Source organism: Homo sapiens, chromosome 11 (genome assembly GCF_000001405.40).
Source record: "Homo sapiens chromosome 11, GRCh38.p14 Primary Assembly".
Taxonomy (NCBI): domain Eukaryota; kingdom Metazoa; phylum Chordata; class Mammalia; order Primates; family Hominidae; genus Homo; species Homo sapiens.
The window spans coordinates 2294631-2318587 of record NC_000011.10 but is presented as its reverse complement, the minus strand read 5'-3'; the positions used below and the strand labels follow the sequence as shown (position 1 = coordinate 2318587).

Below are 23957 nucleotides of genomic sequence, written 5' to 3'. Positions count from 1 at the left end.
CAACGTGGTCTGAACGTCCAGTAAGAGTGGGTGTGGCAGGCAGAATATCTAAAATGCTCCACGCTTCCCACTAAATGTCCTGCCTTAATCACGGACCATGTGGCTGTGAGATGATGGGAAAGCTGATAAGATTTCTCTTTCAAGAATTCTGACACAGGCTACAACACGGATGGACCTTATGGACATAACAGTAAGTGACATAAACCAGACACAAAAGGATGAATCCTGTGTGACCCCACACATATGAGGTTCCTGGAGCAGCTGAATCCATAGAGACGAAAAGTGGATGGTGGGTGCCAGGGACCGGGGCAGAGAATGGGAGTTGGTGTTTACTGGGGACAGAGGTTCAGCTTGAGAAGATGGAAAGTTCTGGAGATAGATGGTGGTGATGGTTGCACAACAATGTGAATGTATTTAATGCCACAAACCATACACTTAACAATGGTTAAGATGGTAAATTTGATGTGATGTATATTTGACCACAATTTGCTCAATGCACCATTGCTGGTTTGAAGGTGGAGGGACCACAGGACCAGGGACAAGGACTTGGGAACCTCAGTCCTACAGCCATGAGGAGTTGACTTGTCAACAGCCTGAATGGTCCTGGAGGCAGATGCTTCCCCGGAGCCTCCAGGTGAGAGTGCAGCCCACCAAGGCCTGACGTCAGTCTGAGAGACCCCGCTCAGGGCACCCACTGAGCCCACCGCGACTTCTGCCCTGGAGAGCTGCGAGATCATAAATGGGCACTGCTTGCAGTCCTTACATCCATGCTGCTTCTTACGCAGCATAGAAAACCAGTGCAGCTTGTGTCTGGGTGGAGCCCTCCAGGCCGTGGGCCACCAGTGTCTTGCAGTCTGCCCTGGGCTGCTGCCTCCAGTGTGGTTTCCTTTGTGCTTGCTCCCAGCCCGTTCCCATGGAGGGATTTGGTGAGCTACCCCTTACCCTTGCATCTGTTCCCAATGGAGCCTGGCTCTCTGGCTGGGCCTTCACTCCCTTCCCTCCTCACAGCTCGGACCCTCCCCTCAGGGATCCCATGAGGGCTGACAGCAGGGGCGTCTTCACCTCTGTGGGCAGCCAGGTGGCAGGAGAGGGGCAGAGGCGCAGCATCGCTCTCCTGCAGCCACCGAAGACTACCCGAGCATCCTCTTGGACCAATAGCAACTGCTTCGGAGTGGAGACAATGTGTGGGTCCACCCTGGGAGCATCTCAAGAGGCTGGGCTCCTGGGGCTGGCGGCCACATGCTCTGAGGAGCAAGGGGATCATGGGGCTGTGGTGGAATGTTCTACAGGGGACCTGTGAGGCTATTGTGGAATGTTCTAGAGGGGATCATGGGGCTGTTGCAGAATGTTCTGGAGGGGATTATGGAGCTGCTGTGGAATGTTCTAGGGGGACTGTGAGGCTGTTGCAGAATGTTCTAGACGGGACTGTGAGGCTATTGTAGAATGCAGAGGACCCAGGGATGAGGGCTTGGATGGCCAGGAAGAGCAAGTGGGTGGGTTAATGGGCATGGCAGGCAGAGACGGGCCAGGCTCCGTGGGGGCAGGAAGAGCTGCCTGGCTGTGGGTTGGACCCTCCCTGCCCCCTAAGCATGAGGAGCTCTGGGGTATTCAAGCACAGAGATCCTGGCCTGGGGCTATAACCTGGAGGCCCAGAAGCATCCATCTCCAGGTCTTGGTAAGGCCTGGGGGTAAGCAAAGGGGGGTCCCCATGTGGGCCATGGGGTGCGGTGCATTGGGTCTGGAAACTCTCCAGGTCTCCCACCCCACCCTGGTGCTCAGCCACCCCCAAAGCGTTTCCTCTACAGTGTCAGCCTGGGGCTTGGTCCCGGGGCTCCCTCCTAGCAGCTGGCAGAGCAGATGCCTCTCGAGCAGAGCTGGAGGACCCTTCCAGAGGGTGTGGGGGCAGGCAGGGGGCCCTACCGTGGGGTCAGGGTGTATTTGCCCTTGCGGTCCAAGCTGCAGCCACAGCGGATGGCAAACCACAGGAAGGAGCTGAAGAGCAAGGCGGACACCTGGGAGGGAGACACCCGCGGCTGCCCCACTGCCCCAGGGTGCGGGCGCCCCTCCCCAGGAAGCATCAGGACTCTGCAGTGTAAGGGGGCGGCCCAGCTGTAGGAGGCAGGCCCTGTCACACCAGAGCAGCTCCCTGAGGTTGGCAGCCAGTGAGGCTCAAGACCAGAGATCCTGTCCCGGGTCACCCTTCCATCTGAGTCGGGGGCTGGGCAGGCTGAGGGGCAGGAGGTGGGAAGGGGCAGTGAGGGAGGCGAGAGGGTACCGTGAGGGCCAGGCCGATGCTGGTCAGGCTGGAGGCGACCTGCTGGTGTGTCCTCAGGAAGCTCCGGATGCCCTGAAGGCAGTCCTGTGAGAGGGCAGCAGGCATGGTACCCGCCCTGAGCGGCCCTCCCTGCCTGGACAAGCGGCCTCTGTGGGGCCATGGAGCTGCAGCGCCCACCTAGGCCAATGCCAGGGCAGCAGGGCGGCGGGTGCGGCACATTCCTAGGAAGCCCCCAGGGCTCTAGGGAAAGGCAGCACGAGCAGGTGAAGCCCAGTGGGACAGGGCTGGCCTCTGTGGGCACTCTGGCACTGCCCTGGGCCCGGCCGGTGCCGTCTCCCAGCTGTCCTGAGCGTCCATGTTGGGCCACACGTTGGCTCCCCTGGGCCGGGCCACTTCGAATTCACTCTGGGTTCCCAGCATCCAGCCCAGGGCCGGGCACAGCACCTTGGTGACCAGAGGGTGATGGCTAACAGGGAGGGCAGGAAGCCAGCTGGTGGAGGGGTGTGAGGGGGGTCCCCGCACAGTCCCAGCTTCCTGGTTCCATCCCAGGCTTCCAGTGCCACCCCAGGGCATGGCACCCAGAGGCATCTTTTCAGAAAAGGGAGGTGGCAGGCCTGTCTCTGAACCCTGGAGATGATGGCAACTGGGGCGGCCTGTGGAGGCCTCCGCAGGGTCTCAGGGCTCACCCTCCTGTCCCCCGCAGGCAGGTCTGCCTCCCTCCCGCCCATGCCAGCCCATCTGGGTGGCTCCGTGCCTGCCGCCTGTGCTGGCTCTTCCGGCTCCCCAGGAGGCTTTGCAGTCGGGCCCATGGCCCTGCCATCCCAAGGGTGCTCGAGGCAGGCCCTCGCTCCTGCTTTTCAGTCGGGGGCCTTTTCAGTCTCTCCTTGGGTGGCACAGGGGTCCTGACTGTTAGCCCTGCCCCCAATGCCGCTGGTCCCTCCCCAGCACCATCCTCAGCGCCAGCCCTTCTGCCCTCAGAGCCTTGGCTGTGGCTCCACCCCTCACCAGGCCTCCAGCCATTTGCTCTCCTCCCCTCTGTTTCTTGGAGGGTCGCCAGGTGCCTCCCACTGTGAGATAGGGTGGGTTTGTTTCCAGGACAGTAGGGGAGGGGAGCGGGGAGGGGAGCAGGGAGGGGGCAGGGTGGGCTGGGGGAGGGCTGCCGGGCACCAGGAGAAAGAGAGGAGGGCCCAGTCTCTCCCAGGGCCCTGGGGAGGAAAGGCTTCCTGGCCTCGGGCCCCGCTCTGTTGTTGCTGAAGCCCTGGCCACACCCTGGCCTACTTCTTCTCCTCTGAGTGCCCTTCAACTCCTTCTGATGCCCCCCAGGACGCCTGCACCCTTCCCCCTAGACAGAGCCCACCACACCAGCCCTGCAGCCCTTGGCACAGAGCCCTCATGGGTGCACTCCAAGAGGCTTCTGTGGACTTAGCTGGCCTTGGGAAGTCCCCAGGCTGGAACTGGCTTGAAGGAGTGAATGGCGCATGGGGCCTGCGTCCAGCTGGGCAAAGGGGCCTGTGTTTATGTCTTGAGCCCAGCCTGGCCACCCAATGGGCTTGGCGTACCATGAACCCTAACTAGCCTCCGATCACATCAGAACCTTCCCTGAGCCCTTCAGCGGCAGTTCCCAAGGGTCTGGGGAGGCCAAGGGGTGGGGTGGGAGGATGGCCCTGGGTCTTGGGGTTGGGCCCCAGGGTGTCCAGCCCCCGAGGGTCTTGCCTGGCCAGCATCCAGGTCCCCCCCTCACCTCTCTCGCCGCCTCCTCTCCCTGACACAGGTCAGCCTCTGTGCTCCCCAGACGGCTGAAAGGAGACTTCTTCCCACAGCACAGAAACTACAGGAACAGAAGGGAGGGAGTGGTGATGTGCTCCCGAGACCCCAGGAGGCGGGCAGCACATATGGGGAAACTGAGGCACCACAAGTATCCAGGTGGGGTTCCCTGCAGGCCAGGGCTGGGGCTACTGGTATTGCAGCTGCTTCTGCTGGGGCTCCAGCCATTGCACAGCCGGGCCCTGGTAAGGGGAGCTCTCTCAAGCTGCGCTGCCTGCCTGCTGGTGACAGAACACCTGCTGGAGCCAGGCAGCTTCCCCGCCCTGTTCACAGGGCCTGTGCGCTGTATGTGCTTTTATTTTTTCTTTTCTTTTTTTTTTTTTTTTAAAGTAGAGACAAGGTCTCCCTATGTTGCTCAGGCTGGTCTCGAACTCCTGGGCTCAAGCAATTCACCTGCCTCAACCTCCTCCCAAAGTGCTGGGATTACAGGTGTGAGCCACTATGTTCGGCCCCGTATTTGCTTTAATGCTCTTGAAATCCTTCAGTGTTTCTGAATACAGGGCCCTGCCCTCTCGTTTTGCACTGGGCCTCGAGAATCTGGTAGGCGGCCTTGTCCTGGGCAGACAGAGGGTGGGAGCTTTTTGCCCCCAGCCCTGAGGGGCAACTCTGGCCTGTGTCCTGGAACCCCCTCGGTGCCTGGCCAGACCTCTCACTGGCCACCCTGCGCCTGTTCTCTGAACTGCAGTCCAAGCAGAAGCTGACCGCCCTGCCACCCAGCCGTCCCCACGCTCACCACGTCCTGGATGGCCGCCAGCTCCTGCCGCCGGACGTGGGACGTACCTTTCATCGCCTGCTCATATACCAGGTCGTAGGTGTCCAGCATGGCGTCCTCCACCTGCACCGAGAGACCACAGGGAGGTCCTGGCCCTGGTGGGAGATCCGGGGACACAGCCCCCTCCCCACGACATCCCAAACGCTAGTGGGCCCTTAGTGCTGAGTGACGTCCCAGCACTGCCCTCCTTGTAGCAGGTGGATCTCCCCAAAGCGGAACCTGGGTCCCTGGGCAGCCAGTCACAGTGCTTCCCAACATCAACGATGGGGCCTTCACACAATGGCCGTCAGAGTGGCCCTCCTGCCCCCAGAGGGTCCCGCAGGATAAAGCAGAGGCCAAGCTCTGCGTCCGCCTCCGCTGTGGTCTTACAAGGTTGGCCCACAGAAGTTTCCAGCACGCTACTGTTGACCCGGAAATGGGGGATGGGGCTGGGCCTGGTGGAAAAGGCTTGAGAGACCCTGTGCCAGGACCTCAGCTCCCAGAAAGCTTGGGGATTCTAGATCTTTCCCAAGAATCACCCGGCTGCCTTCTGGAAGCCCGGGCAGCTGGGCTCCGGGTAAGGCTTTTGACCAGAGAAGCCTTGGGCACCTGAGGCCAGATCTGGGTGGACGAGGCCACTGTGGGGCAGGGGGTGAAGAAGGTGGAAGGTGACGGGGCCTGGCTGGATGTGCTGCCTGCGCTCCACACCTCACCAACACCTGGACCTCATGTCTCCACCCTCCTAAGCAAGATGCTCTCCCCTGCCAAGTTACTCCTTCAAAGACAAACTGGAATCTCGCCTCCTACAGGAAGGCTTCTGTGACTGCTCCAGGAGTCGCTGGTCTCCTGGCACAGGGCGAGGCCCTCTTTGAGGTCCCTGCCCTCTGATGTCTCCTTCCTGCCTCAGAGGCCCTCAGTTCTCCCCCAAATGCCATGCTGACAGTCAAGACACATGAAGGGGGTGCTCAGCAGCTGCCCCAAAGGGCTGGGGGAGGATGGAAGCCCCAGGCCCGCTCTAGCCACTCACACCTGCCCTCCAGAAAGGAAGGGTGGCTTACGGCGGTCCTCATTGCACTGGGGCCCAGCCCCCGTGGCAGGCCCTGACAGCGGCCAACTGGGCGGGCAGTGGGCAGTGGAGGCTCTCGGTCAGCCCTGCCCAAGCCTGGAGGCCCCAACAGGAGTCAGATGGACTTTCCAGGCCAAACTTGGCTCCTGACCCTAATGCATCCCTCCCATTGATGCTAATAAAAGTCAGACCACTCTCCGTGAGTCATCCCCGACTCAGCCAGCCTTGTCCTCCCCGCAGTGCCCAGGGGCGGGCAGGCACCAAGCTGGCCACACCACTGTCGGCCAGGGCGGGGGCCTTGTTCAGCCTCAGCGTCTGTGAGTGTGAAATGGGGGTGGAGTCTGGCCTGGCCATTGTGTCCTCGTGGGTGGAGGTCCTGGTGAGGACTGGAGGCCCAGCGGAGTGGGCCCGGGGGTTGGCTCGGACCTCCCCTCCTGCTTCCCTCCCAACTCCAATGACTGTTCCCATTGTCAGGCGCCTGCCATGGCCCAAGGAGGACAAAGGTGCCTCTGAGGCTGTGAGCAAGGTGTCATTATTACCACAGCATGGGCGAGAGTGACAACTCCTGCTAGTGGCTGAGGGGCCTGCTCTGCCTGCCCTGCCTGGCTCTGCCTGCCCTGCCTGCCCTGCCTGCCCTGCCTGGCTCTTCCTGCCCTGCCTGGCTCTGCCAAGCAGCTCTCCCCACGACTGGGGAAGCAGAGCTCAGCGAGGTAGGCCTCCTACCCCAAAGCCGGTTGTCTGGCCCTGGAGGGCCCTGGAGGCCGGGCCGGCTGCTCTCCACGGGGCCTGGGCTCCTAGGTGATGCTTCACCGTCTGTCTCCATTCCAGGCTCTGGGGGCTCTGAAGGAGCCTGGGGCCTGTGTTTCTCAGGACACCTGGGGGAAGGTGCTGCCTGACAGGTATCAACGCACTAAGCTCCGTCTTCCGGTGCCCGGGGGCTTTTCCCCATGACCAGATCTTCCCTGGTGTCTGCCTGGGCTTGGCGACCCCATCCTGTGTCTGCTGAAAGTGCTCAGGAAGGTACAGACAGGTCCTGAACGGCAGGTGGGGACCAGGAGCTGCAGGAGGCCTGTGGACCAGCCCCACAGGTACAGAGCTGGCTCTGGCCTGAGCCCACTCGGCGGCTGGAGGATCCAGGGAGGGTAGTGGCTCCAGGGTGGGGCAGACTGTGAGGACGAGGCTGCACCCCACACTGCTGTACTTAATTTGAGCATGAATTATTCCCGAAGCAGACTCGTCAGGGCACAGGGGGAGGGTTAAGGCAAAGTGGCTCTCAGCCCTCGAGGAGAACGTAATTAATAGCCCTCAAGCTCCACATTCATCCCTGAAGCCCGGTCCACGCCTCCTGCCCGCATGAGCATCCCAGGGAAGTGGCAGCCAGGACTCCCTGGGGCAAGAGTTGGGGAGGTGGAGGGGCACCCCACTTTCAGCTCTGGGCCCGGGTCTGTGGCCACAGGGCACCACCAAGGGCATGTGGCTGGTCCCTTCCCTCCTCTGTCCTCTGCCTTCCCATCCGCAGGGGCACCACATGAGTCACCCTGACCCTGTGTTCAGGACACCTCAGTGGCCCTGTGGGGAGGGACAGGGGGAATGGGTGAATGGGCCGGGCTGGGCTCTGGGCCCCCGGCTCTCACCTCGACGTTTCCGGTGCCAACAGCTTGGGGCCTTTGGCCTTTGCCACTGTCTAGGCTGCCAGCAGGACTTTGTTGGACAGGGAGCCCAAGGTTGAAGCCCATTCGGCTCTGGTGGGCCCTGAGGGTGGAGGGCAGGAGACGGGATGTGCAGCCGCCCCTCCTGCTCAGGGCCCGGGCCCTGGCACCAAAGCCACTCCATCCACACCCAGGACAGCTTCGAGCAAGTCCCACGTCCTGGAGGACCAGCCTGGGCAACGGGGCACGGCAGGAGGCACGCAGGTGAGGAGGAAGAGTCTTTGCACACACCTGGCCATTCCCACCCATGCAGCCCCTGGATCTTGGTGCTCCCTTCACAGAAAAGGAAACTGAGGCCCAGGAAGTTAAAGTGGCTTGCCCAAGGGCGGCCCAAGGACACTGACTTCATATTCAGAGCTCCTTCACCCAGGCCACCTCCATGGCCACCAGGCCTGACACAGATGATGCCAGAAGTCAAGACCCACTGGGAGGGGCAGATGGGGACCAGAGGCCCAGGAGGAAGCCCCAGTCCCCTGCCTGGGGTCAGGCAAGGCCCTGAGAACTGACCCCTGAAGGGCAGCTGGGCGCACGGGCCAGACAAGGACCATGTGTGTGGGGGATGCTGCCTGGGGCTGGGACAGGCCATAGGTGAGCCCGGCTGGGGCATCTATCTTCTTGCACCCCCTTCCCTTCCTGGAGAGCAGGCCCCAGCTGCGTTCTGTCCTGTGGCCCCTGTATGGCCCCCTCCCCTCCAGAATTGTGGCTCCACGATCAGAGCCATAAACACACAGAAGCATGGGGCATGGGCCGCAGCTGCCCCAGACGAGCCCGGGGAACCCTGGCAGCTGTCTTGACCTCGGCCACCCACACTGTGACCCAGACCTCAAATGAGCCAGACCACCCCTCAGTGGACAGGAAACGTGAGGCCGAAACACGGACCTGGCCCAGCTCACCACCCTGGTAAGACTCCTGTGCCAGTCCTCAAAGCCACAGCCCTCTTCTGGGGGCTCAGCCCCTCTGGGATCCTTCTGGGCCTGATAAAATGGTGTTTCTCCCACCTGGTTCAGGCGGTTCCTCCCAAATGATGCCAGGGGTGGGTGGGCACTTTGGGGCCAAGAGCCTTTGTCGTAAGCCTGGAGCCCCCATCCAGCCCCGGCACTGCCAGGGTAACCTTGAGCTCCCCCCACCCCCAGAGGGCCTGAGTCCCCCCATTTGCAAACCACGGTGGGGACCACCACACTCAGGCTGCCAGCACAGCTCAAGAAACTGCACAGCAGGCCCCCTGCAGAGCTCAGCCAGAGGACCTGCCTGCTACCAGCCTCGGTATCTCTCATGGCCAAGCCTGTGTTTGAGGGCCCTGGGCAACCAGGCACTTGAATACACGAGGCCACTAGGACTCCAGCTAGGGCTCCAAGAAATCACCTCTTGTGACCTGCCAGGCTCTCCTGCCCCACTCCATGACCCTGCCCGTGGCTGTCCCTGGTGCCGCCCGGCTGCCCTGGGGGCTCTCACCAGGTCTGGCTCTCAAGGGGAAGGTGGGGCTGGCTCTGCTACCGAGCTCTCATTCTCTGCTGGGCCAGGGAGGCCTCCTTCCTCTCCAAGCTGCTGGCCTTTCCACGGGGACGCCCTTGGCCCCTGCCCACGGTCAGCTAGGCCGGACCCTCCTCCAGGCAGGTCAGCATCCAGGACGGAAGGATGGGTGCTGTTCCGTGGAGGGGGTGGAGGCTGCGACACCCCAGTCCGCGGGTCTCCAGGTCCCTTCCCCACTGGTACCGTCTGCCCCACCAGGCCATCAGGAGCGCTGGCCCTCAGGTCTCATTTTCTGGAACACTCTGCTCCTTCTAGTCAACCCCTAAGGCCAAGCCAGTGGCTTTCCTTCTTCTTCCTCCTCATTCCCTCCCTCAAACCCGAGGGGCATCAGCTCAGGAGGGGGTGGGCTGAGGGGCTTTAAGAAAATGAGACTGGGGCGAAGGCAGGGGTACAGCATAGGTCCCTCCCCACCAGGGAGCTGCTGGCCCTCACCCACCTCCAGCGCTTGGCCTCCCTGAAGCCTCAGGCAGAGGGAACCCAGGCTGCGGTCTCCCCCACCCCACCCGGTCAGCACAAGCCTGGAAGCTGGGGCTGCTCCTCCCAGGACTGCTCCCCAGTCCCCAGGTGCCCACTGGCTTACTGGGGGACCCTCCACTGCAGGGTAGGGGCAGCTGGTGCTCACCTGGGTGGGGCTGTGGAGTCTCCAGAACACCACCTGCACCTGTGCGCAGAACGCCAGGGAGAAGCACAGGAAGCCCTGGGGGCAGAGCGGGGCTGGTCACTGTTGAGGGCTGGTCACTGCGGGGGGCTGGTCGCTGCTGGGGGGGGCCGGTCACTGTGGGCGGGCCAGTCACTGTGGGGGGCCGGTCACTATGGGGGGCTGGTCACTGTTGGGGGCTGGTCATTGCGGGGGGCTGGTCACTGCGGGGGGCCGGTCACTATGGGGGGCTGGTCACTGTTGGGGGCTGGTCATTGCGGGGGGCTGGTCACTGTGGGGGGCCGGTCACTATGGGGGGCTGGTCACTGTTGGGGGCTGGTCATTGCGGGGGGCTGGTCACTGCGGGGGGCCGGTCACTGTGGGGGGGTGGTCACTGCGGGGGTGGGGGCAGTCACTGCGGGGCCTGGTGGGGCCTGGCAGGCCTGGGCAGGGCAGTGCCCTCAGGCTGCGCCCCCAGCAGGATGCTTGGTCGAGGTGTGGGTCTGAGTCCCGCTCCCCACTGCCTGAGAGGGAGACTTGGCCTGGGGAGAGCGTGGGCGCTGGGTGCGTGGGTTCCATAGCACCTTCCCATCCCCTTCCCCTGCGCTTTTTGGGAATTCATCCCTTGTTCTCCCATTTTGGCCCCCAGGGGCCTGTTGATGGCAACACTGCACCCCTGCCCAGCAGGGGCAGGGCACCCCTGAGAAGATGGAGACCTCTGCCCACTGGGGCTGCTTCCTGAGGGGCATGGACCTGGACAGGGCCGGGCAGAGTCTCCCCTGAGCCTGAGCCTCTCCAGGGCCGGGGCTGTAGGATCTTCTGTTTTGCCTTCTTTTCTGAAACAAGGCACCAGCTAGCCCAGTGCTGGTGAGGCTTGGGACAGGTGTGGTGCCTGCTCAGGATGCTGTGGCCTCTCTCTTTGCAGTTGAGCCCACCTCCCTCACCTCACTTTCTCTCCATACTCTGCCTGGGTCTCCATGGCCCGGCCAACCACTGTCCCCTCTCTCTCACTGATGCCCGTGCCCCTAGTCGTGGAGTGGGGCGTTCTCTGGTGGAAACGTCTGCGCACCCGCCCCCGGCACTTGCCCGTTGTTCTCTCGGTCAAGGCTTCCAGGCTTTTGAGAGCCCCCTTGCGGAAGCTAAGGAACACGAGAGACCCCTCCTCTGAGAGCATACAGATGCCCCCGATACAGTTTTATGGATGGTGGCAGAGGTCACCCAGGCTAAGAACCCTGGGGATGTCCTCCCACTCAGGGTCTGGGCAGCCGCCTTTGCCTTCATGCTGGTGCCCTGAGGACCTGGAGTACCTGACGGTGAGTCTAGCCACCGACCGGGCAGCTCCCCCAGGAGTCCTGAGGCCCCGGTGAAACGCCAGCCCCCTCAGGCAGCACTGTGCCCGCCTGGGTGGTCCACAGGCTGGAGCAGGTTGGGTCTGGGCCCTTCAAACCCTGGGGCCCCATTCAGGGTGATGCCAGGAGCATGGGTGCCCGTGGGATAGACGGAGACCCACACATGCTGGCAGGTGGGCAGCGACAACGCTGGCATGCCAGGGGAAGCTGGGCCAGAGGGGCGTGGAAAGAGCTGGGGAGCCCTGCTGGCCCCCAAGCACAGGCGTGAGCATGGGGCCTCCAGCCCTGCAGGGACAGGGCGCTGGCGGCTCCTCATGGCCCTCCTGCCTGCCCTGGAGGCTGCAAGGCCTGATGGGGGATGGCCTGGGAGCTGCCTCCTCCTCCTCTCTTCTCTCTCCTCCTCCTTCCTCCTCTTCCTCCTCCTCCCTCCACCCTCCCCCTCTTTCTTCTCCTCACCTTCTTTCCTCTTTTCTCTTTCCTCCTCCTTCTCCCTCCTCCTTCTCCTCCTTCCCCCTCCTCCATCTCCTCCTCCCTTGTCCTCCCTCCTTCTCCCTCCTCTTCCCTTCTCCCCCTCCCTCCTTCTTCTCCCCCCTCCCCCTCCCTCTCCCTCCCCCTCTCCCTCTCCCTTCTCCCCCCTTTTCCCTCCTTTTCCTCCTCTTCCCTCTCCCTCTTTCTCCCTCCTTCTCCTCTGCCCTCCTCCTTCTTCGTCCTCCTCCTCCTCCTCCTTGCTGGCTGAGGGCCACCATCCCCATCTGGAAGCTATCACTCAATGCTGCCTCCCAGGCTTGAGGCCCTGAGCCAGCTCAGGAGACCAGCATTTTCCAGAAACCATTTCATTCCTCAGGAGAAAGAGCATCCACGGCCTCTCTCTCTCTTTCTCTCTTTCTCTCTTTCTCTCTCTCCCCCCACCACCAACCTCCCGCGCAGAGAGGATCTTGGGTGGTGGATGGGCCCACCCAGACCTCCCCAGGGCCTTCACCATCAGAGGCTGCTGGGTGGTCAGGTCTGCCCTGGCCATTTTCTTTCTCCTCATTCTAAATGGAAATAAATAAATAGATACATAAGCGAATTGAATGTGCTTCCTTGGGCGGCGCTGCCAGCTCTGCTCTCTCAGCCCAGCAAGCTCTTTCATTTCCTGTGCGAGAGGCCAGCTAGGGGAGAGGCCGGAGGGGTGGGGGCAGGCAGGAAGGGGCTTTGTGGGGAGCATCCAGGCGCCCAGCCCATTGGAAAAAATCTTTCCACTCCCTGCTCCCCTTCCCTAGCCCCTTCACTTGTGCTCATGCGTGCAGACACACATACAGATGTGCCAGATGCAACACGCAGACACCACACCCGTATGGCAACAGGGGCAGGTGAAGACCGGTGACAGATACTTACACACACACACACACACACACACAGAGGCACCTGCACACGCACACACACATGCACACACACACTCATGCACATGCACACACACATGTATATTTGCACACGCATACACATAGGCTCACCCTCATGCACACACATGCATGCAGCTCAATGGAGCAGGTCTCTTGACTGGGGTCTCCCAGCTCCCTGCTGTGGCCATGCTGAGCTCACCATCCAGGCTGGGTCTAAGTGCATTGGGGCTTGGGAGCTGTGCTGGAGCCCACCCAGCTGGGACTGGAGTGTCCTCAGGACCCCAGCCCAGTGCAGGCATCCAGTTGGGGGCCTCCAAGGCTGCTCTACAGGCCTGACCCACATGTCAAGTCACCCTGGCCTTGGGGCTGGCTGGGGACACAGAACCTGAGCCCAGGTGCTCCCTGACCGCCTTGGCCACAGATGAGGGTGCTAGACTGGTTTGTGCACGGGGGCAAGGTGGGGTGGGAAAGGCTGGTGACTGGGACAGGAGCCCCGTGGCCCAGCGGCTGGCTTCTGCATATGTGGCCTCAAGCCCAGCACCATGGCACCCCCTGGTGGACGGTACTGCAGCCCCAGCGCTGGTTCTTTCTGGGCCTCCAGCTCTGACCTGGACCCCTTGGCCTGGCCCTGTTGCCAACCTTTTCTTCCATCCAGGTGTCCCTTTGCAGGCCACACACCCTCTGGGGGGGGGGGCAGACTACCTGCCTTGTCATCTCCCCACTGGGGCCTCCCACCTGGCCCTGAAGCCAGATAGCACAGGCCGGGGTTGTCCCTGCCCATGCTCGTGTGCCCCGGAGCAGGAATCCTGGCTAGTGCTGGAGCTGCTGGGTCCTCCTCTGCCCACCATGGGCCCACCCAGGGCTGGTTGGCCCGGCAGCAGCTCCAGGAGGTGACTCTATTCCTATTCTTGGAGACATTTATAAACCAGGGTCATTAAACAAGCATTTGCTGAACTTGAAGGCTGAGCTGAAAACCCTGCCAGCCCTGGGGACCCAGGAGGCTCTGCCCTCAGGGACCCCCAGAGTGGTCCAGCTTCACAGGCTAAACAGGGAAGCAAAGCCCCCAGCACAAGCTCCTCATGGCTGGAAAGGGGAGACGGGAGGCTAGAGGGACAGGTGGGAGCCCGGGGCGCCAGGGAGGAGCTGCCCCAGCTGGGGTGAGAGAAGAGGGCTGTGGGCCTAGCAGGGGCAGGACAGGCGTGGGGAGGCTGCCGCCAGGTGGGGTCTGCGATGACCATCGAGTGGCAGGGACCAAGACAGAAGCCCATGGGGAGGAGTAGGAATGAGGGTGACAAGAGGCCACTGCTATGGGGTGGGGTGGAGGGGCCTATGGGACCTCGGGGCTGGGGAGACACCTCCGGCAGCTGGGAAGGAGAGTGTGCAGCTCCGGAGAGCCCAGGCTGGAGAGCTCAAGGGGCGTTTCCTGAGCCTGGCCCGGCCTCCTCCGAACAGGAAATGGGATGCTCCCAGTGCCCTCCCAGAGCTTGCTGGGCAATAGAACCAGACCCTCCCAGGGACTTTGGAAACAGCTCCCAGGGTCAGGAGGGCCGTCTCTCTCTTTCAGAGCTCCTATAGGAACCCTTGTTGGGCGTGTAGATGACAGGGTGAGGTAGGGCCTGGTGGAGGGGCCTTGGCTACCCAGGTAGGGGGTCTCGGCTGGCTAGCATCCCTGGGGCCTCTGTTTCTGCCTAGATACTCAGGTGTGGGGTTGACGTGGGGGTCTCGGCTGGCCAGCATCCCTGGGGCCTCTGGTTCTGCCTGGTCACTCAGGTGTGGGGGTGGCACACAGCCCTGCCAGCTCTTCACTCCTTTCTAATTCTTTTCTGGGGGCCTGGGCATCTGGGAACACAATGAACTCACCCCTGCCATGAGGCCCTGGGCCTCCCTCACGGTGGCTGCAGCGCTCAGCACGGCTCCCAGAGTCAGGAGGCCCACCAGGCTCAACCCCGCAGAGAAGGCTGGTTGGGAGGAGAGAGGAGGAGGGTTAGGGGTGCCCAGGACAGGTCCTGAGTGCACACAGCCTGGGTGTGAAATCTAACTTGGGAGTCAGGGGCCGTGAGGGACTCCTGGGGGGCTCTGAATGGGCCTGTCTCTCCATCAGACGGCCCTGAGGGAAGGAGGAGGGAGGTGGGACTCGTTCAGCCTGGGGGACTGCCCCTCCTTCCCTCTTTTCCTCCCTGCCCTCCATGCCTGTGGGGCTATCTTGGAAGCCACATGCTCCCTGCCATGCCCTAGTGACAAGTGGCCGGACTGGAGCTGTAATCTTATCAGTCTGGACCTGGACCTGGGCCCCAGGCATCCTCCTGCCATGTCCTAGTGACAAGTGGCCGGACTGGAGCTGTAATCTTATCAGTCCGGACCTGGACCTGGGCCCCAGGCGTCCTCCTCCAGGGAGGCCCTGGTCCTAGGACTTGGGGAAAAGCATTGGGTTCTAAGGCAGTATCCCTGACCTCCTGGGCCTCAGTTTCCCTACATCTGCCCACCGGGCTGCAGCCTTCCTGGGCCCCCTGAGCTCCTGCCTGAGAGTCCCCTGCAGATCTGGCTCTGACATCCCCTCATTAAAGGGGCCTTCCTCAGCCTTACCCCTGAGTGGCCCCAGCAGGCTCTGGCCCTCGCTCCCGCTCTCTGGATGTTGGATAAGTCGCTGCTGAGTCCCTGCAGGGAGGCGTCTGGCTAGAGCAGCCCCCACCCCCTCCCCACCCACATCCCAGGTCCTGAGTGGAACATCAGCCATGTGGAGCCCTCATGGACCTGCTGTGCCCAGCCCCAGGCCAGTCCCAGGCCTGCCTGGGACTGAGCCCTGACTGCACAGAGCCAGGTCCTGACCGCACAGAGCCACTTCCTGACCCTGCCCGACATATACCCACACTGTGCCCACGCTCCTGTGGGGCACGAGAACCAGGCAGGAACACTGGCTGTCACCCAGACCCGAGGCCCTGCCCAGGGGAGCTAGGACTCCAGGGCAGCCCCTCCCTGCCCCTGACCACCTCTGGCTCCTGCCTAGGGCCTGGCACCATTCTGGCTGTGAGGCGTCCAGCTGGGCTCGTGCCAGCCACCCTTGCACCCGAGGCCCCTCCCGATGCAGCCAGGCCTGGACCTCACTTACCCCATTGGTGCACAGCCTGGTACGGGTTCTTCTCCAGGGACGCTCGGCGGATGACAGCAAAGTGGGCCCCGAAGTAGGTAAGAGTCACCATGGTGGCCACAGAGAGGCCCAGCAGCTGTGGATAGGGCAGACTCAGAGTGTGGGGCATGGGACTGCTGCAGGAGCAGGGAGCTCGGCCCCAGCGGGCAGGGTTGGGGCTCTCTCCAGCTTCCCGGTCCCGTGAGAGACAGGCTCAGCTGCAGGGATTCCCGGTGTTTCCGTGGAGTGGTCTCAGGAGGCCTTCACTGCAGACGCCCCAGCACACTCACAGGCACCCCCACATGGTAGACGCATACACGCACAGCCCAGCTTCCCCAGACACCCAGGACCTCTGATCATTGTGTCTACGGAGTGGGAGTGAGCCCCACCCCTGTGCCAGCACCCTCCGGGGCAGGAAGGGGAGAAGATCCCTGGAGCCCGGCAGCCAGTGCCCCTCCACCCCAGCTCGCCCCAGGCCTCAGCCCCACTCAGGCCTCCTCCAGGCTCTGTGCTGCCCCTCAGGAGGAGAGACGGGGTTGCTCATGGTGGTCCCTGCCTGCCTGCGGCTGTCTGCAAGGGCAGGACACATGTCTGCAAGGGCAGGACAGGGACAGTAGGGCTGGTGTGTGTGTCAGGGGAGGGATAATCCCTGTGCTGAGGCCCTGCCACCCCTCACCCCTGCTCACCCCCACCCACCACCCACTCCTGCCCGACCTGCCTGTTACCAAGATAAAGAAGCAGGTGACCAGCATCTGGCATTTGGCAACCCTGACTCGACTCCAAGGCCCCATGACGGTTCCTCTCCTCTCCTCTCCTCCCCTCCCTTCCCCTCCCTGTGGTTTCCAGCTGGGCAGGGGCCTCAGACCGCAGCTCACTGCCCAGGAGGTAGGCTGCATCCGCCCCTCTGTCTGTCTGTCAACATCGCCCTAGGACCGAGCTGCTGGGTGCCCCGGAAGAAGGGCAGGCAGGAAGGGGAGGGGCAGTGAGGTTGGCTCCCCCCACCACCTCACCCTGGTGCCCCCAGCCCAGCCCAAGACACCAGGGCATTTGCTGACATCTGAGGCCCTTCCCAGGAAGACATGGCCTCGTTCTTGGTGTGGCCACTGAGGACGGCGCTGAGAGGGGGAAAGTCATGGGCAGGACCTGGTGTGGGATGTGGAGGAGACGGCGCCCGGGGAGGAGGAGGTGAGCTCCCCGTCCTGGGAGTGAGCAAGTGTGGACTGGGCCTTGGGGGCGTAATCCTTGGAGGAATTTGGATGGGGTCTCCTTGGAACATCATTATTGAGGTGTTCTTAGGAAACACCCTTTGAAATGTCCTGTGACAGCTTAAGTTTTGAGAAGGTCGTTGGTTTTAATGCCTTCGTGGGCGGCACTCATGGATATTTTGTCGCAGAGCCTTCTTGGGGCCACAGGGGTGGGCTGGGGCCTCGCTCACACTCACGTGGGGCCTCCAGGGGGAGGCTTTGTAAACCTCGAATTTGCAATTACACCGAGCCGTGTAATTACGTATGGGTGGGGGCAGCGCTGCGGCCCCAGTACAGGCAGGGTTTCCGTGGGCCTCTGGGGCAGGGTGGGCCTGAAGAGGGTGAAAATGTTCCAGGTGAATCCATCATTCAGGGACCACTCCGGGCCCTCCCAGGAGTGCTAACAGGCGGCTCTGCTCGCCCCTCGGTGCTGGAATTGCTCCTCCTGCATTTGGTCAGGACCTCATCAAGGGGGAGGGGGCCCCAAGACCTGCAGGCATGGCAACCCCAGCGTGGCTGTGGGAAGAGGGCCCAGCTGCCGCCCGCTCAGGAACGCTGCTGGAGGAACTGCTGAGGCCACCGCCTCCCTCCCTCTGCGGAGGGAGAACCAGGAGAACCAGGAGGGACAACCAGGACCCCCGTCCAGCCCAGCACCCCCAGGCAGCACCCTCTGCAGCTCTGGCCCCCAGGAATTCCCACCCTGAGTCTGTGGGGGCTTGTGGAGACCTCAGATGCCTGGCACCCACAGTGTCACTTCAGCTGGGGGCCTAGGTGTGGCTCAGACTGGGGCGCAGGTATGAATGTAGGGGTGGCAACAAGAGTGAAGGTACCAGGTCTAGGGGCAGGAGGCCCCCGGGCTGTGCAAGTGGGCAGCCCGTCCTCTCCAGGGAAGATGAGCTGCTCTTGGCTATGTCTGGTTCGCCCCTAGAATTGTCTCTCTCCAACCTTGACCTCCCTGGAGCTGGTGAGGCGGGCCTGGAGCACCACCCGCTTCTGGGACACCTCTTCATCAGGTCTGAAGAATTTCGGAGCAGGGCGGGCCTGGGTTCTTGACCTGTCCTGATGGCCTCCTTCTCACACCAGCGCTGTGCCCAGGTGGCCTCACTTGTCATCTCAAAGTGGCGTCGAACCCCCTGACAGGTGGACGGGAACCCCCGGCTGGCCCTCCAGAGACCAGGTCTGACCACAGCCCCCCTCACTGTGCCCCACCAGCGGGGGCAGGGAGCCGGTGGAACCCCCACGCCCTTTGCTGAGCCACACCCTCCCACCCCAACATTCCCTCTGCAAGAGGAAGTGGCTTGTTGAGGGGAAGCCACTGTGCAGGCTGCTGCCCACCCCACACCCTCCTGCCCACCCCGCACACCCCTGCCCACCCCGCACACCGCTGCCCACCCCACACATCCCTGCCCACCCCACACACCCCTACCCAACCTTACACACCCCTGCCCACCCCACACACCCCTGCCCACCCTCACACACCCCTGCCCACCCCACACGCCCCTGCCCAACCTCACACACCCCTGCCCACCCCACATGCCCCTGCCCACCCCACACACCCCTGCCCACCCCACACACCCCTGCCCACCCTCACAAACCCCTGCCCACCCCACACACCCCTGCCCACCTGCTCTAGAGGTGGTGCCGGCCGCTGGGAGCCTGGAAGACCCCTCGAGCAGCGGGTTCAGCCCCAAGGAGCTGGCCCAGGAGGACAGCTGCCCCCACCCCTACCCCACCAAGGAGCCTGTCCTAAGGGCTGGGCCCCACTGCAAGCTGGCCTAAGGGCCCCTGGCTTTATTTCCAGGGAAGAGATTGGGCGTGGATGCATGTGCAGGCATGGATGCGTGTGCAGGCGTGGATGCGTGTGCAGACGTGGATGTGTGTGCATGCATATGTGTTTACCCGCCAGGGACTTCCTTTTTCCTCTCTCCTTCCTGTGAATTCCTGGGTCCCAGGTGCGCCCGCTCACTCTACAATGTCCTTACCCACCAGGAGGCCCCTGGCTCAATGATGCCACCTGCAGCTGCCCAACCCTCCGCCCATGGTGCCCTTGTTCCACCTGCCACCGCTCATGAACCTGTGGATCACCCAGCTCTGCACTGGCTTGCCTGCTGCTGCTGTCTCAGTTTACCTGGGCAGTTGCCCCTGGCTATCCGGCTGGGATGGGACTTGGACTTAGAAGCAGGCCCCTCCTCTGGAAAGCTGTGTCCTCGGGCCAGGAGGTGGCAGCCTCTACCTTCCTGAGACAGGGACCCTTTTCTGTCCATCAGAGGTGAGCAGCCGGGCTCTGAGGCTGGAGCCTGGGGGCCCCTGTGCTGTCTGTGAGCGCGGCCCCTCCCACCGGGGAGGCACTCAAGAGCTTCCCACCTGCGTCACAGCGAGTGGGGCCTGGAGCTTGAAGAGACCTGTGGGGGCCACGCGGGCACCTGAATCTGGCTCATGTCTGTCCTTTGCCCTGATTCTGAAATCCACGTCCCAGGAGCTGCCTTTGCAGCCTCTCCTGAGCCCAGGGAGGAGGAGGGCAGCTCCCCTTCTGGATTACCCTAGGCCTGGGTCAGCTGGGTGGGCCCCAGGGGACCTTTGAACCCCTACTGCCTGGGCAGCCCCCTTCCCCTGGAGGCACCCTGGCCTGTCCCTTGAGAGCCAAGACCATACTCAAACTGGGTTCTGGGCTCTGGGCACTGCTCTGCTCCCAACCAAGGGAGTTTCTGGGGCATGGCTGCCCGGGCCTTCCCTCTCAGTGCCGTGGGCTGCTGCCTCCGCTGGCCAACTCCAGTGGGCACTGAGGGGCACCCTGCTTCCCCCCCCAAGGAGCCTAGGCTCTGCCCTCAGTGAGGGCAGAGGGGACCCAGGGATGGCTGCCCCTTCATAGACACAGCTGTCTCCCAGGGGAGTCTAAAGGGACCCCACACCTGCGTCACAGATACCAGGGACAGACTGTAGGGGAGGCGTCTCTATCCACATCCACGCTGTGCCACCCACTAGTATGTGGGGCCGGGCACCACCAAGCCTGCTGTCCTGCCTGGGCCACCCCAGCCTGGGCTGAGACTCGGCACCCCGTGGGGGTGGAGGAGTGGGGCAGAGGCAGGAGATGCCTGGGGTAAGAGCCAGATGCCTTCAGAGTGACCCCCCGGGCCTGGGCAGGACTGGGGGCAGGGGAAGGTCCCGCTGGCAGAAAAATGCACATCGGACCCTCCCCCTAATGGTCCCCACACTCCCTGTGCAGACAAGGCAGGCTGCAGGGCAGAAGCTTCCTGCCCCATTCCTGGTGGTCAGCGTGCTTTATTTAGCCCTTGATGAAGAGACTGTTTCATGACCAGCTGGGGCAGTGAGCTCCTGACACCTTTAAAGGTGCAGTGTTGCCTCTCTCAGGAACCTAGAAGTGAACGCCCATCCCCTTTCAGGCCAGACCCCGATGCTCAAGCGTCAGGGCCCAGGCCCATTGCCAGGCTGCCCTCTCTCTGGGACAGGTGCAGGGACCCTTGGGAGGGGCACAAGGTTGCAGAGGATCTTTGAGCAGCATGAGGAATATGGTGAGAGAAGGCTTTAGGAGGCGGGTTCAGTGTCAGTGTTCGCTATGGACAGAATCGTGTTCCTGCAAAATTCATAGGTTGAAGCCCTGCCCCGCAATGAGATAGTGTTAGGAAGTGGATCTCTGGGAGGTAATTAGGGACAGATGAGGACATGAAGGTCCCTGGTCCCATAGGATTAGTGCCCTTATACCAAGAGACATTTAGGAGCTCCCTCTTCTCTCTCTCTCTCCTTACATGCACTGAAGGACAGCTGTATGAAGACACAGAGAGAAGGCAGCCATCTGTAAGCCAGGAAGAGAGCCCTCACCAAGACTGGAATCAGCAGCACCTTGATATTGGACTTCCAGCCTCCAGAACTGCAAGAAATAAGCACCTGCTGTTTACATGCCCAGCCTGCAGTGCTTCCTTATGGCAGATTGGAGCTAACTGAGACAGCTCCCAGCACTCATTCATTCATTCATTCATTCACTCACCTCATGTCTACTAAACAGCTCTGGGCTGGCTCTGGGAAGCAGTGAGTCACACACACTGCCCCCAGCAACGTGTGAAATATGTTTAGAGACAGTGGGCTACAGCGGAAAGGGTAGATGCCCTGAGAACCCCAGCGGTGCTGGTCAGAAGCACAGGCCTTGTTGGGCTGAGGCTGGCATGGGGTGAACCTGGGGAGCCTCGGGGGCAGAGGTGATAGATGTGGGGTGTTTCAAGGCAGTGAGACAAAGAAGGGAGATGGGTGGTGCCCCCCAATGCCAGGCTTCACCAGCCTCCCAACACACGAGTGTTCACCCGCCTGGATGAGACACCTCTGTGGACTTGGGAGTGAAGGCAGTGAATTTGGGCAATGCTGGAGGCCGTGCAGGTGGGAGGTGGGACAGGGGCAAGAGGCCGGGGCCCAGGCAGGAGCTGACAGCCCACCAGTGGTGCTCCCCTGAGAAGCAACCTCAGTGGGTGGCTTGGGGTCTGCTGGGCTGTCCCCACACTGACACCCTGGCTGCAGGGCCCCCCTGTGTCCCCAGTGAGGGGTCTCGGGAGCTGTGTGTCCTACTCAGGGCCATCCCTGCAGCCCATGCTCTCTGGGTGACCAGTTGCCAGCAGTGTCCCCCCTGCCTTGGGCGGAGGCTGAGGACCCCAGGGTGGGAGGGAAGGTGCGGTGGGGGCTCAGCCAATGCTGCCCAGCCTGAGGGTCCCTCACATGTGGGCCGCACCCCTGCGTCAGCCGGAGTGATCTCTGCTTAGGGTGGTTTGAGGTGAGTTCTGATATCTCAAACACCAGCATCAGGGCCAGGGCAGACAAAATAAGAGTGAGCTGGTCAGGGGTGTCCCAGTTGGGAGCTCGCTCACAGTCTTTAAGGAGGCAGGGCACAGCCCAGTGGGGGTGGCCACGAGGCCCCGGGCCTGTGGCTGAGATGGCAACTGGCACCGGCAGTGATTGGAACAGTCCAGCCCATGGAGCCCTGTGGCCTTGGCCGGTGGCTCACGGTGCCACGGGAGCTGGAGCAATGGGTGGCCTCCCTTGCCTGGTGCCTGAGTGAAGGAGGACTGGGTGCCCCTGAGGAAGGACCTTGCCATACTCCTACAAATTTACATTATTCTTCTTTCCCCAGTCTCCCCTCAGGGACCTGCAGCCATTTGCTGGGGTGGCTAGTGGAAAGGGGGATCATCAGACTCAGGGGGATTACTGGACTCTAACTCTAACCTGACACCCACTCCTGGGGACACAAACACCCATCGGATCTAATAGTCAGAGGAGGGGCGTATGGAGGTCAGTGGGCTCACGGAGTTCTAGCTCAGGTCCAACCCTCGGTGGGTGCAGAGGTCACTTCCCTAGCCTCAGATGGGTGAGTAAACAGACGTATGTGGCAGCCAGCAGAGCCCCCACATTTGTTCCCTGACCTGAGGGTGGGGGCTACTATGCTGGGAAAGGCCAGGTGGAAGCCATTGGGGTGAACTCTGCCTAGGAAAATTGTCAGTCAAAAGCAACCTGCAGCCCTGGAGGGACTGCAAAGGTCAGTGCCGCCATCGAGGACTTGGAAGATGCAGGGTGGTGACCCCCACTGCAGCCTCGTTCCACTCGTCTAATTGGCTTGTGTGGAAGACAGGGGGGTCCCGGAGAAAGAAGGACAGTGAATCCTGGTAAACTTAACCAGGACTCCAATTGCAACTGCTGTTCCAGATATGACTACTGATCACTGGGGCAAATCAAAGCATCCCCGGACACCTGGTCTACAGCCATTGATCTGGTGAAAGCTTTAATTTTTAATATAGATTTTATTTTTTAGAGCAGTTTCATGTTTACAGAGAAATTGAGCATATTTGAGAGTCCTCATATAGCATCTCTCCCTACACACAGTTTCCCTTATTATTCATATCTTGAATTACTGTGATACATCTTTGCAATTGATGAACCAATATTGACCTAGTCATTGATCAGGTTACATGAGGGTTCACTCTTCTTGTTGTACATGCTGTGAGTTCGGGCAAATGTGTAATGGCATATCTCCACTATTACAGTGTCACACAGAATTATTTTACTGCCCTAAAATCCGTCTGTGCTCCATTTATTCTTCCCTCCCTCCCCACTGACTCCTGGAAACCACTGATCATTTCATTGTCTGCATAGTTTTGCCTTTTCCAAAATGTTTTGCAACATGGGCCATATGACCCACGGGTAGGTAGGAAGACATGGGTAGGAAAACCCATGTAGGAATGACCTAAAATGCTGTCTGCTTTCTGGGAGTCCCAGAACAAGAGAAGGCTCTGCAGCAAGTGCATGTGGTCATGAAAGCTGCTGAGCCACTTGAGCCACGGGACCAACAGATCCCATGGCATTTGAGGTGTCTGTGGCAGGTAAGGATGCTGCGTGGGGGCCATGATAGGCTCCTGCAGGTGAATCACAGCCCAGGGCCCTTAGGATTTTGGAGTCAAGCTCTGCCATCCTCTCTGGATAACTCTGTGGATTGCGTCCAGGCCTCCATAGAGACTGGACAGGCCACTAAGTCGCCACGTGATCTGAACTGTACGTCATGAGTGGGATGTTGCTGGACCCAGCGAGCCACAGAGTTGGGCATGCACAGCTGTGTTCTGTCTTCAAGTGGAAGCAGCAATATACAACCCGGGGCTCAGGCAGGCCCTGAAGTCACAAGCAAGTTACATGAAAAAGTGGTTCCAACACCCGTGGTCCATACTCTGGGCAGGGCCCCTAGGTGTTTTCATTTTTCCTGGAAGGAGAGTTCGGAGCTACAGGTGCCACCCACTCATGGTCAGTTGCTCCTGGCTTGGCCAGATGGATGGTCAGGGACTTGAAAGGAACACATTTGGGAAAACGGTAGCAGGAGGTGTGGGGAAGTGTTGTGTGGTTAGAGGTCTCTGAAAGGGCAGAGCGTGAAGATCCTCGCAGCCCATGTGACATTTGCCAAAGGGCAACCGCCTCAGCCGAGGAGAAGCTCAGTGACCAGGTAGACAAGATGGCCCTTTCTTTGGGCATCAGTCAGGCTCCTTCCCCAGCCACCCTGTCATTGTCAGCAGGCTGGTGAAGATAG

General features: G+C 61.5%; 2 protein-coding genes and 1 long non-coding RNA gene across 26 annotated transcripts, besides 3 other annotated features; 2 read left to right on the top strand and 1 right to left on the bottom strand.

Moving 5' to 3' along the window:
• Positions 1–383: 383 nt before the first annotated feature.
• TSPAN32 (tetraspanin 32) lies at positions 384–16575 on the bottom strand. Of its 22 annotated transcripts, NM_139022.3 has the most exons (10): positions 16373–16575; positions 15630–15744; positions 14384–14481; positions 9778–9852; positions 4833–4934; positions 4017–4103; positions 2276–2359; positions 1921–2012; positions 1063–1244; positions 384–725 (listed from the first exon to the last, which is right to left on the bottom strand). In NM_139022.3, the coding sequence occupies exons 1-10, from the start codon at positions 16436–16438 to the stop codon at positions 664–666; spliced, it is 963 nt and encodes a 320-aa protein (NP_620591.3). In that variant the 5' UTR covers positions 16439–16575; the 3' UTR covers positions 384–663. The 22 variants fall into 22 exon arrangements, 20 of the variants coding, with proteins under 20 accessions (NP_620591.3, XP_011518124.1, XP_011518120.4 ...); XM_011519822.2 differs by lacking the exon at positions 1063–1244; XM_011519818.4 differs by lacking the exon at positions 9778–9852.
• On the top strand, positions 4101–6123 carry LOC124902612 (uncharacterized). Its single transcript, XR_007062552.1, has 2 exons — positions 4101–4198; positions 4785–6123. It is a non-coding gene; the product is annotated as an uncharacterized LOC124902612 (long non-coding RNA).
• Positions 5425–6030: an enhancer, noted in NCBI's record as "H3K4me1 hESC enhancer chr11:2333788-2334393 (GRCh37/hg19 assembly coordinates)". NCBI's record gives its function as "activates a minimal SCP1, AML or CMV promoter by ChIP-STARR-seq in primed H9 embryonic stem cells {active_cell/tissue: H9 hESC(primed)}" and the evidence as "EXISTENCE:reporter gene assay evidence [ECO:0000049][PMID:30033119]".
• Positions 12004–12671: an enhancer, noted in NCBI's record as "H3K4me1 hESC enhancer chr11:2327147-2327814 (GRCh37/hg19 assembly coordinates)". NCBI's record gives its function as "activates a minimal SCP1, AML or CMV promoter by ChIP-STARR-seq in primed H9 embryonic stem cells {active_cell/tissue: H9 hESC(primed)}" and the evidence as "EXISTENCE:reporter gene assay evidence [ECO:0000049][PMID:30033119]".
• On the top strand, positions 15448–22960 carry C11orf21 (chromosome 11 open reading frame 21). Of its 3 annotated transcripts, NM_001142946.3 has the most exons (5): positions 16670–16832; positions 17820–17904; positions 17975–18068; positions 18881–19160; positions 20667–22960. In NM_001142946.3, exons 1-4 carry the CDS (start codon positions 16727–16729, stop codon positions 19130–19132), a joined length of 537 nt encoding a protein of 178 aa, NP_001136418.1. In that variant the 5' UTR covers positions 16670–16726; the 3' UTR covers positions 19133–19160; positions 20667–22960. The 3 variants fall into 3 exon arrangements, 2 of the variants coding, with proteins under 2 accessions (NP_001136418.1, NP_001316887.1); NM_001329958.2 differs by lacking the exon at positions 17820–17904; NR_138249.2 differs by lacking the exons at positions 16670–16832; positions 17820–17904; positions 17975–18068 and adding an exon at positions 15448–15706.
• Positions 19035–19329: a silencer, noted in NCBI's record as "tiled region #3604; K562 Repressive non-DNase unmatched - State 8:EnhW". NCBI's record gives its function as "represses a minimal TATA promoter and a strong SV40 promoter by Sharpr-MPRA in K562 cells {active_cell/tissue: K562}" and the evidence as "EXISTENCE:reporter gene assay evidence [ECO:0000049][PMID:27701403]".
• Positions 22961–23957: the final 997 nt, after the last annotated feature.